Source organism: Homo sapiens, chromosome 17 (assembly GCF_000001405.40).
Source record: "Homo sapiens chromosome 17, GRCh38.p14 Primary Assembly".
Lineage (NCBI taxonomy): Eukaryota > Metazoa > Chordata > Mammalia > Primates > Hominidae > Homo > Homo sapiens.
This window is the reverse complement of record NC_000017.11, coordinates 36,103,368-36,115,611: the sequence shown is the minus strand read 5'-3', so window position 1 is coordinate 36,115,611 and position 12,244 is coordinate 36,103,368. Positions and strand designations below refer to the sequence as shown.

Here is a 12,244-nt window from a genome sequence, read left to right as displayed (position 1 = left end):
AGTCTATACATGCACAAACATGTTTTTAACAAAAGAAGGAGGAAATGCTCATGACAGTTACAGTGCTCATTTCTGCAGCTGGTCTTGTGATCATAGCTGGTATTGATGACTACCTTCCTCTACTACCCATTCTGCATTCCCTTTGCCTTCAGCAAGCACCTCAGTAGGTCGTGTTTTTGTTTTTGCTTTTTTTTCCAGTGGAGTGACCCAAACCTTCATTCCTGAAGGGTCTGAGTCATTTGTAGTCCTGCCTGGATTGGCTGTTGCCCCAACCCTGCAAACTATTGTCACTTATTTGGCATTGTAATTGTGACTCCAAAAGGCCATTCCACCATTCTATCAATCCAGCTGCTTCAGGATGATGGGGAACATGGTAAGACCAGTGAATTCCATGAGCATGAGCCCACTGCCCCACTTCCTTAACCGCAAAGTGAGTGCCTTGGTCAGAGACAATGCTGTTTGGCATGCCATGACGGTGGGTAATGCATTTTGTGAGTCCGTGGATGGTAGTCTTGGCAGAAGCATTGCATACAGGATAGGCAAACCCATATCAGGAGTAAGTGCCATTCTAGTGAGAACAAACCTCTGCCCTTTCCATGATGGAAAAGGTCCAATATAATCAACTTGCCACCAGGTGGCTGGCTGATCACCCTGAGGAATGGTGCCATATCGAGGGCTCAGTGTTGGTCTCTTCTGTTGGCAAATTGGGCACTCAGCAGTGGCCATAGCCGGGTCAGTCTTGGTGAGTGGAAGTCCATCTTGCTGAGCCCATGTATAACCTCCATCCCTGCCACCATGGCCACTTTGTTCATGGGTCTATTGGGCGATGACAGGGGTGGCTGGGGAAAGAGGCTGAGTAGTGTCCACAGAATGGGTCATCCTATCCACTTGATTATTAAACTCCTCCTCCACTGAGGTCACCTGTTGGTGAGCACTCACAGGGGATACAAATATCTTCACAGTTTTTGACCACTCGGAGAGGTCCATCTACGTACTTCTTCCTCAAATTTCTTTGTCACCAATTTTCCAATCATTCTTCTTCCAAGTCCCTGACCATCCAGCCAAGTCATTGGCTACAGCCCATGAATCAGTATATAATCGCACACCTGACCATTTCTCATTTCATGTAAAGTGCACTGCTCGAAGTTCTGCCCACTGGGAACATTTCCCTTCACTGCTCTCCTTCAGGGATGTCCTAGAAAGGGGCTGTAGTGCTGCAGCTGTCCACTTTCTGGTGGCGCCTGCATATCGTGTGGAACCATCTGTGAACCTGGCCCTAGTCTTCTCTTACTCTGTCAACTGATCATAGGCCCATCGGTGCAGGCTGGGGGAGAGAAGGCAGAGTGGCAGGAGTGGAGACCATGGGCATTTGAGCCATGTCCTCATGTAACTTACTTGGCCTTCAGGACCTGCTCAAGCCCGATCACATATATACCACTTCCATTTGATGATGGAATGCTGCTGTGCATGACCCACTTTGTGGCTAGATGGGTTGGAAAACACCCAGTTCATGACAGGTAGTTCAGGTCACATGGTGACTTGATGACCCATAGTCAAACGTTCAGTTTCCACCAAAGCCCAGTAACAGGCCAAGAGCTGTCTCTCAAAAGGAGAGTAGTTATCTGAACAAGATGGCAGGGACTTGCTCCAAAATCCTGGAGGCCTCTGCTGTGATTCACCTATGGGAACCTGCCAAAGGCTCCAAACAGCATCCTTATCTACCACTGACACCTCAAGCACCATTGGATTTGCTGTGTCATATGGTCCAAGTGGCAGAGCAGCTTGCACAGCAGCCTGGACCTATTGCAGAGCCTTCTCCTGTTCTGGATCCCACTCAGAACTGGCAGCCTTTCGGGTCACTCAATAAATGGGCCAGAGTAACACTCCCAAATGTGTTGCCTCCAAAATCCAAACAGGCCCACTAGGCTTTGTGCCTCTTTCTCGGTTGTAGGAGGGGCCAAATGCAGCAACTTATCCTTTACCTTAGAAGGAATATCTCGACAGGCCCCACACCACTGGACCCCTAGAAATTTTACTGAGGTAGAAGTTCCCTGAATTTTAGTCAGATTTATTTCCCATCCTCTGGCATGCAAATGTCTCACCAATAAGTCCAGTGTGTTTGCTACTTCTTGTTCACTGGATCTAGTCATCATAATGTCATCATTGTAATGGACCAGTGTGATATCTTGCAGAAGCAAAAAGTGTTCAAGGTCTCTCTGAATAAGATTATGACACAAAACCGGAGAGTTGATATACCCCTGAGGTAGGACAGTAAAGGTATATTGCTGGCCTTGCCAGTTGAAAGCAAATTGCTTCTGGTGGGCCTTATGGACAGGAATGGAGAAAAAGCATTTGCCAAGTCAATTGGTGCATACCAGGCACCAGGAGACATGTTAATTTCTGGACCCTTCCCACTGGGATGATTAGGTCTAAAGTGACTAATCCACTCCACCATCCCAATCTCCCTAAGCCTTTGGATCCCTTCCTCTACATTAAACCAGGAGAGATCAGGCATTTCCAGCTGGCTCACAGTGGGCCATCTTTTATTCCATATTTCAGCTAACCAAGCAAATAAACTATTAGAATCTTTTGTAACTCCCCAATCTGCAACATTAAATGCAGAATCCCTACTTAGTGGGCCCAAATCAATAAATTCAGCCTGATCCAACTCTATGTTCCTTCCACCATTACCCCATACCCTTAACATCCATTCCCATGCCTGTTCTCCAGATTGCTGTTTTTATAAATTAGAGAACTCAAACAGTTCTTTTGAAGTGCCATGCACCTCCTCATGGGTCACACTCTCAATCTCACTTCCAGGGGCCCACTGGGACTTTAGTTACAGGTCTAGACTGTCATCAGTGTAATGGACCAGAATTTAGTGTAGTTACATGTCTAGACTGTCATCAATGTAGTGGGCCAGCAAACAGGGGTGTTGGGTGTGGCTCCTGAGGGGAATCAACATTACTTTGCCTGGCAACTGCCTCAGGGGAGGCCATCACTGTTGCCTCAGGCAGCACAGGGTTTATCTGTGGACAAAGGTGGAAAGGCTGATGGCAGCATGGGTCAGGGAGCGGATGTTGCCACTACTGGGGATTGGGAAGCTGTTCCTTCTGGCAAAAAAGGTTCATCAGAGTTTACAAACTCAGTGTCCCCAGCTTCATCTGGGTGCTCCCACATTTCCCCATTCCAAGTTGCAGGGTCCTATTCTTTTCCAATCAATGCCCCCACTTTAACAATAGACACCTGGTGAGGCTGTGCATGCCCCTTTTGTTGCAGGTCAGCCACTTGCATGATAAAAGCTTGTGTCTGTTTTTCTACAATTTCAGCTCTTTCTGTACAGGAGATAAGGTTCTCACTCAGGGCAATCTTAGCAGATTTGAAGCTTAGTATCTATTTCTGAAGCCGGGAGACAATCCCTGAGTTCATCATTTTCTTTCAACACTTTGTATACTGAACTTAAGAGCAACCAACCAGCTTCATTATGTTCCTTGGTTCTCCGCATATGGTCAAAGGTATTATGTATAGAGTCACTAAACTCCTTGCCTCTCATGAGCAGTGAAATCAGGAGTGTCAAATGCATTTATTTTGCCTAACTATCTAAACCGTTCACACCAAGGACTATCAGTCTTCTCCATACTATTAGACATACAGTCCTTAGCATTTTGGGGTCTAACCATATTAAGCAGCCAATTCCAGAAACCCCAAAACCAACGAAAGAACTCAATCCTTAATATTCTGTTTCTCTAGAACCACTCCTGGTACCAAAATCTGTATTAGTCAGGGTTCTCTTAGAGGGACAGAACTCATAGGATATATATAGAGAGAGAGAGGGGAGATTTATTAAGTGTTAACTTACACGATCACAAGGAAACATCCAGCATGGGAGAAAGATGTAGGCTGGGAGGCTAGGCCCAGCTCTCCTTTTCATGTTTTTCTGGCTGCTTTATATTAGCTGGAAGCTGATTAGATTGTGTCCACCAGATTAAGAGTGGATCTGCCTCCCCCAGCCCACTGACTCAAATGTTAATCTCTTTTGGCAACACCCACACAGACACAACCAGGATTAATACTTTGTATCCCTCAATCCAATCAAGTTGACATTGATTAACATCACAGCCAGGGAACTGAGAAGCAGGAGCCTGGCTCACAAATCAACTTCTTAGCTCAGAGAGCCGGGAAATCACAGATAATAGGATATATTTAATGAAGGGGTTGGGCATTAAAAGCAGGGGGAGGAATATTCATGTATTTTCTGAGAATGGGTGGAGAGCTTCTTGGAATTGGAGTTCTTGCCTTTCTTTTGGTCCTCTTATGGTTTCTTCAGTTGTTGTCATGGAGATTGTCAATTGTCATGGTGCTGGTGGGAGTGTCATTTAGCATGGACATTAGATTATAATGAAGTTACAAGTTCATCGGAGGTCAAGTGAGCTGCCATCTTAGACCCCAGCAGTCTTAGTCTGTTGGTCCCGAGGGGGAACTTTGGACCTCAGGCATCCTGTTTTCTGAAGATAAGCAGAGTTAAAGTGGCGTAGAAATTTACCTAGGTCACATAGACATTACCCTGGGTAACAGATATTTTGGTGACAGAGCTAGGAGGGAGATTTACTTTCTGGTTGGGTATCTTTTTATGCCTTTTGAATTGTATATAATGTCTACTGTTATCTATTCAAAAATTATTAATTTAAAAACCATTAAGTGCATGATATCAAACTCCTTGGTGGGCGCTCATCTGTCAGAAGTTCTAATGGGTGGGTAGGGCCTTGAATCTGCAGACTTCATCTGGAGTCACAGATATAATAACTTCCTCTACAGACAGCTTGAAAGATTCAGGGATTCACTCTTTTCAAGAAATGAAGGGGGAGAACAAGACAAGCCCTTCCAACCTTCCAAATCAAGGAGATATAGAAAGGTAGGATGGAAGGCAAAGAGGTTTACTATGCCAAGGTAGACCTGTTTAGGCAGGTTACAGAAAAGAAGAGCTAATATAAATCAAATAGGTCTGCAAAGATTACACATACCAGTGTCCTCACACTGTGGATCTACCTCTAGACCTTTCAGAGCCTTGGTTTTCTCATCTTTAAAATGGGAATAATAATATCTACCTTAGGTTTTTTGTCGTTGTAGTTGTTGTTGTTTTTGTTTTTTGTTTTTTGTTTTCCCCAGAGACAGGGTCTCACTATGTTTCCCAGGTGGAAATGCGGTGGCTATTCACAGGCACGATCCCACTACTAATCAGCATGCGAGTTTTGACCTGCTCCATTTCTGACCTGGGCCGGATCACCCCTCTTAAGGCAACCTGGTAGTCCCCTGCTACCAGGAGATCACAATGTTAATGCCGAGCTTAGTGTGGACACCAATTGGCATAGTGCACTGTAGCCCAGAACTCCTGGGCTCAAGCAATCTTCCTGCCTCAGCCTCCCATGTAGCTGGGACTACAGGCACATGCCACCATACCTGAGATTTTGCAAGGATTAAAAAAGACTATATATGAAACTCATAGCAGTATAGCACCTGGCGCTTTAAGGAGCTTGGTAAATGCTGGCACTTTTCCCCTTCAAGTCCCTAGCTGAAGGAAGAGAGGACCCCCTAAGGAAATGAATCAGGAGTCACTGTAAATAACCAACATCTCCTTGAGGAGCCCAGGGACATAGGGTCCCGAGATTTAGAAGCTGCTAACACTGCCTGAAGAAATTATTTCCCTGCAGCTGTGCTGGTCTCCTAGTAGGGAATGTTTCCGTAGAAGGGGATAGTCTCCCAGACCATCCTCCATCAAGTCCCATCAAGCCCATCTTCCCTGAGAGACATTAATTTTGATTTTCTGATTCCTTCTGAATATATATATTTTACACACTTATCGTATAGAGCCATCTCTTGATATCCACAGGGGATTGTTTCTAGGAATTCCCATGGCTTCCAAAATCTACAGATGCACAAATATCTCTGATATAAAATAGCATATTATTTGCCCATAACCTATGCACATCCTCCCGTATACTTTCATCTCCAGATTACTTAGAATACCTAAACAATGTAAGTGCTGTTAATAAATGTAAATGTAAATCATTGTTATACTGCATTGTTTTTTATTTGTATTTTGTTATTATTATTATTTAGTTTTTGAGACAGGATTTTGCTCTAGCGCCCAGGCTGGAGTGCAGTCACGTCATCTCAGCTGTCTGTAACTTCTGCCTCCGGGGCTCAAGCAATCCTCCTGCCTCAGCCTCCCAAGTAGCTGGGACTACAGGCATGTGCCACCTCACCCCACTAATTTTGATATTTTTTGTAGGATCAGGTTCTTGTTATGTTTGCCCAGACTGGTCTCGAATTCCTGAGCTCAAATGATCCACCTTAGCCTCCCAAAGTGCTGGGATTACAGGTGTGAGCCATCACATCTGGCCTGTTGTGCTTTCTTTCCCAAATATTTTCCATCCATTGTTGACTGAATCCACAGATGTGGAACCCACATATACGAGGCATTGGCTGTATCCAAAAATGAAACTTATTAAAAGGTAGAAAAATGTGCCATGATTTTGTCTCTCAATTCTTTTCTTCCATTTTCCTGTATGCTAGACTCAGTGGGAACCCAAGAGAGAAGGAGTTTAGAAGGGAGAACAGGTAGAGATAAGTGGGAAAGAGAGGGCGCCAAGACCCTCAAGTCTGTAAAGGGTGAATGCAGACTGCAGTACAGGACTGCCACCTGGTCTCTGGTCTCAGCCTCGAGGAAGAGCTGTGGCTATGTCACCATCCTCAGCTCATCTTGCTCCCTTGATCCCTGCCTCTGCTTGCTCGGCTCCTGGCCTCCTTGGAGGAAAATGCCTGTGTCAATGGGAGCATGATGGAGGGTTCCAGGTTGAGGTGGGATAGGGGGATGAGGACATGTTTGCATGAACATGTCCTAAAGGAACATGTACATAAGGAAATGGACTCCCATCTGGAGAGTGAGCTGGGGGAGGTGGGCACTGCAAGGAGTAGGAAAACAGGCCGGATGCCTAGAAGTTGCTCCATAATCCATAGTTCCTTTCGAGTGTCCTGCTTCATCTGTTCTGGCTTCTGTCCCCACCCGGAAACCTGGAGAAACCTCAAATGGAACGTCAAGTAAGCAGATTCCAGCTCTCTGGGCCCAGGGTGAGAAAAGGAAGTTGTATGAAAAGAGGAGAAAGGAAAAAAACAGTCTCATATTGTGCAACAGGTGAAGTCCCACATTGCCCCACTTCGAGGATTCCATTCTGCTGTTTGTAATTGCTGGTGAAGCATTTCTTCATGAGGCTGCCCAGGCCTCCTGCAGCCTTCCCTGGTGGTCTTGCCTCTGTGGAGCTGAGCTCCTCCCTTTCCATTAGCTGAGGGGCAGGGAGGATTGGGAAAGGGACTCCATCGTGAGGGAGAAGACCCAGATTCTGGCCCTGACCTTGCCTGCTCAACAATGAACCAGAGACAGGTCATGGCTCTGCTCTGGGCTGCATCTGACAGATGAGAGGATGGATTCTTTCCCGGACAGGAATCCAGGACCCCTCAGAGCACCCTAGATGTCTCAAGAAGAGGCATGCTTCCTAAGGGTCTTGGACCCTGGATCAAGCCTCAGCCCCAGAACTCAGTTGCTGAAGCAGATCTCCTCTTGGGATGCCTCTCCTCATTATAGTTCATCTCCTTGAGGTGTGTCCCTCTCACCCTGGGTTCCTCCTGCAGGGAGGTTTGGCTCACCCTCTAGAATGCTCCCTTTCCTGCCACACTGAGCTATTGGGGGCCGCTATCAGTGACGCGTCAGTTGGTGGTTGTATTTGTTCCTATTGCTGCTGTAAAAAATTACCACACACTTAACATCTTATAACCACATATTTATTCTCTTAAAGTTCTGGAGGTGAGAAGTCTGAAATTAGTTTCACTAAGCCACACTCCCTTTGGAGGCTCTAGGGGAGGAAAAATTTCCTTGCCATTTGCAGCTTCTAGAGCTGCATCCTAACACTTCTTGGCTCCTGGCCTCTTCCTCCATCTTCCAAGCCAGCAGCATAGCATCTTGCTTCTGTTGTCACATTGCTATCTTCTCCTCTATTACCAAATTCTTCTCTTCCTCCCCCTTATAAGGACACTTACAACTGCATTTAGGGCCTGACCAAATAATTCAAGGTAATCACTCATCTCAAGATTCTTAACTTGATCATATCTCCAAAGTCCATTTTGCTATAAAAGTGACATTCACAGGTTCTGAGGAATAGGATGTGTGCACCTCGGGGGCCATTATTCAGCTACCGTAGTGATCTATACCTTGTCTCTGGCCTGGAGTCATCCATTCTCTCTCCCATCCCGTCGCCTCAGAATAGAATTGCATATCTTTCTCAAAATCCACACTCTAATCTTACAGGCCATCCCAACTCCCCTTCCCTTCACTTTCTTTAGGCTCTGAGAACATTCTAGGAGACTGCTCTCCAACAGAACTTTCTGCAATGATGGACAGAAAGCCCGTAATCCGTGCTGTCTAACATGGGAGCTAGCCACATGGAGCTACTGAGCACTTGAAATGTGACTAGTGTGACTCAGGAACTGAATTTTAAATTTTATTTCATTTTAATTAAATGTAATGAAAACGTAAATAGCCACTTTGGCCAGTGGCTAACATATTAGACAGCTCAGATCTAGGCAAATGAAAGCAGAAACTATGGCCAGGCACATTCTTTGCTGCTAGCCTCTTCCTACACCTGTTTTGGATCAGCTCTGCCCCCTAACCTCCTTCTCTCAGTCCCCGCAGAATCTGAAAGAAGTTTCCACTGGGGCTCTGGAATGATGAGGGTGACTAAGGGCAGGACAAGGAAGGGAATTGTGTCTGTTGACCCCAGAGAAGTGCAGGGCCCCAATTCTGCTTTTGCATAGGACTAAGAACACTCAAATGATTTTCAAGATAGTCTCCGCCTTGTTCTTACTCAACCGGTCTCCCTTTTGAGGACCACAGAGATGCGTCACTAGGGAAGGTGTGCAGGAAAGGGCCCGAGCCTGGGAGCTGGCATTGGCCAGGCTCCTGCTCTGCTATGCACTCGCTGAGTGGCACGTGGCAAGTTACTTCCCAGGCCTTGGCCCTCAGTTTCCATAAAATGAGAGGGTTGGACCAGATGGTCTAAACTTTCCTTTTAGCTTTAGTAGACTACGAGTCTGTGTCCCATGGATCAGGCTTTATTGTGCATGTAATTCTACTTCAGAGTTGTGTTGTGTCTGACCCATGGAATAGGCAGTTCTGATTGAAGGATAATTAAGTAGAAGTGGCTTTAGGTTACTCCTGCAACACTTCCAAACAAAACCTCCATCCTGCTGTCCTCATGACAACACTTCACAGTAGATTGGGATTTAGAGTGCTGATCTGTCAACTAACTAATCTAATCCTCATGATGATCCTGACAATTGCTAGGTCCATTTTAAGTGAAAAGGCTGAAGCTCAGAGAGGGAAGGAGAGAAACTTCCAGGTGCCTGGTCCTATGATGGGTGCTTTATACATCACCTTATAACAGCCCTTCGAAGTGGTTAATATTATCCCCATTTCACACTTGTGAACACCGAGGTCTAATAAGGCAAGATGACTTTCCCAATGTTATAATAATAATAAGATGATGAAGTCACTCTTCTCACTCTTCTTCCGCCTTTGCTGTGCTGCTTCCCCTCTTTACAACTCCCCCCACAAGATGTTGAAATGATAACCTCCTTTTCTGGGGCATTCTTTCATGACACTCCCCAAGCAGGCCTACAAGCTTCAGCAAGTCACTTCACCTCTCTGTGCCTCTGTTTCCTTAACTGTGAAACTCGGTGCAACAGTCCCTAGTTCATAAGGGTGTTAAAACCCTTGTTGAAAGTACGCAGTGAGATCGTGTATTAAGAGTGTTCAGCCCAGAGCTCATATTAAGGACTCAGCAATTGCTCATTCTTACTGTTTTGGGAAACTGTAGTTTGTCCCTCCCAATGGTACCAGGCAATTCCTTTTACCCCCAAATCAAATTAAAATCACAAAGAAACTGTCTGCATTTTATTTTAAAGTTTTATTATGAAAACACACAGAATCAAATGTGTTATCCATGTATTTGCAACAGCAGAGAAACAGTGACAGTGGACCATCCCCATAGGGGACACTTATCCTTTGGCTAAACTAATATAAATAATGGAAATGACACCTAATACAATAACACGGCACATAAAAAAGATTAAATTAAGAGAAGGGACAGGAACTGCGGAGAGGAGTCCTGAGTATGGAGGAGATGTGTCTCATGGAGAAGCATCCGGGCTCAGGTGACCTTCCCTGAAGACTTCCTGTCTCTGAGCAGCTCAGTTCAGTTCCAGGTCATACACGTACTCCTGGACCCAGGATTCACTGGGATCAGCACAGACTTGCTTGCTTCTTTTGGTTTGGAATCTGTAGAACAAGGAGCGGACAGATTAGAATCTCATGAGACCTTTGAGGTCATCTGGCTTTATCCTTTGCATCTTCCTCTGCCTGACCATGGTCCATGTGGGGCAGCTCTGGTGGATGGGATCCTTCCTGGAGCAGCACTGGAAGCAGACTCCCTGTAACTTCCACCCACTGGATTTAGCTGTGGGCCCCAGGAGTTGCCCAGATTAGGAACCAAGGGGCATTGCAATCAATATGAATAGATCTCCCCATTCCCTGCCAGCCTGGCAGTGACTTTTCCACATGTCTTTCTAGCACGGTTTAAGGAATCGGTCCATATCTCATGGGACCTGTCTGCCTTCCCCTGCTTCCCTGTCCTCTGAATAACTTCCTCCCCAGCAACCCCCTTCTCTCTCGGCTCCCACTCTGCCGCCTTCAGCACTTGAAAAGTGAGTTCATGACCTGTGTCCTCACTGCTCTCAGGGAAGGCTTCAGCCCTGGGAGCTGCCTCCCCAATGCTCAATCACCCCCTCCCCAAAACAGGCCCTCTTTTAAAATCCAGCCCTCACCCTTGCCTCCCAGGGCAGCCCAGGGGTTGATACTCACACCACAGCTGGCTGGGAGCAGAGGCTGCTGGTCTCATAGTAATCTACCACAAAGTTGCGAGGAAGCTTCCTCGCGGTGTAAGAAAAGCAGCAGGCGGTGGGAGGGTCTGAGCCCACTGAAAGGAAAGGCCAGGGTGAGATCAACACTGCCCGTGGGAGCTGTTTATTTTGACTTCTAATTTTGTATCTTCATTGAGCATCCCTGTGGAGCTACCAGAACCCCAAATATCCATTCCCACCTAACATGAGCAGGAGTCTTATTTTGAATAGTGGATCTTCAGAGAAGAACGAGAAAGAAATCTAGAAGATTGGAACTGGATTCAGTCTCAGAACACATCGCACTCCCTTCATATGACAGATGGGGAAACCAAGGCACAGAGAGGGACAGGGGCTTGCTTGAACAAATAATTAAAGGCAGAGCCAATTCAACAGTCTGACTTCCAGCCCATCGTTTTCCTCTGCTGGTTGCTAATTCTTAAGAAAATAGGAACTTGAATGTTATTGAATATCTACTAGACTCTACATTTAGCAGCAGACTACATGGCAATCTTCCTAGCTGCCTTTTGTCCCATCCCCAGATCCCACTGTTTGCCAGCCATGACTAGAAAAAAGGACTCTGCCTACACCTTGACTCGAAATAGCAGCTGCAAAAGTAGACTTACTTGGTGCTGAGAGCGCTGGAGAGCAGAAGGCAGCTACTAGCATGAGGAGAGACAGGACAGTCACGCAGAGCTTCATGGTATTGGTGGAAAAGAGGTTTTCTCAGAGGTGAGGCTGCAGAACTCAGAAGCTTCAGAACCCAGCTGTGTCCTGTGCTGATACTGACTTGGGAATCTCTCTTTATAGGGACTCTGAGGCCTAGGACAAATGTGGGGGCACAGGAGAGTGAGTGGAATTTCCATGGTAGAGATGACGTCATGCTCCTGAAGCTAGCTGAGTGAGGAGTTCCTCTCAGCTTCTCTTCCCCAGGGCGATGTCATCATAGAGGAAAGATGAGGGAGGTGCAGGCGAGAAGAAAAGGGAAGTGGTACAGCCAAAGGCAGTGACCGAGACTGGGGAGAGAGTTGCAAACCCCAGAGGAAAAGATGAAATGTTCACACCTGCTACAAGTGGCTTGTAGACAAGAACTGTGCTGCTCTTGGTGGTTGGCACCCTCAGATGCTGGAGGGTTCATGTCAGTCTTTCCAGGCTGGCCACAAGCCTGACCCCAAGAACAAAGTGGGAGCCAGGACTCCCCCATCCCCTTCCTGTGCCTTCTTCTGCTGAGCTGAGTGCC

The 12,244-nt window shown here is 46.4% G+C and overlaps 1 protein-coding gene and 1 pseudogene across 1 annotated transcript; both read right to left on the bottom strand.

Moving 5' to 3' along the window:
- Positions 5,165-5,462, bottom strand: RN7SL301P (RNA, 7SL, cytoplasmic 301, pseudogene; annotated as a pseudogene).
- CCL4 (C-C motif chemokine ligand 4) lies at positions 9,998-11,785 on the bottom strand. Its single transcript, NM_002984.4, has 3 exons — positions 11,631-11,785; positions 10,970-11,084; positions 9,998-10,387 (listed from the first exon to the last, which is right to left on the bottom strand). The coding sequence occupies exons 1-3, from the start codon at positions 11,704-11,706 to the stop codon at positions 10,300-10,302; spliced, it is 279 nt and encodes a 92-aa protein (NP_002975.1). The 5' UTR covers positions 11,707-11,785; the 3' UTR covers positions 9,998-10,299.

What these genes read in the sequence shown, in the direction of transcription:
- CCL4 (NM_002984.4), bottom strand. Translation starts at nt 11,706, where the DNA reads ATGAAGCTCTGCGTGACTGTCCTGTCTCTCCTCATGCTAGTAGCTGCC. An exon ending in TCCAGCGCTCTCAGCACCAA is followed by an intron (nt 11,085 to 11,630) that starts GTAAGTCTACTT and finishes CTTTCCTTTCAG; the next exon opens with TGGGCTCAGACCCTCCCACC. An exon ending in TGCTCCCAGCCAGCTGTGGT is followed by an intron (nt 10,388 to 10,969) that starts GTGAGTATCAAC and finishes CTTGTTCTACAG; the next exon opens with ATTCCAAACCAAAAGAAGCA.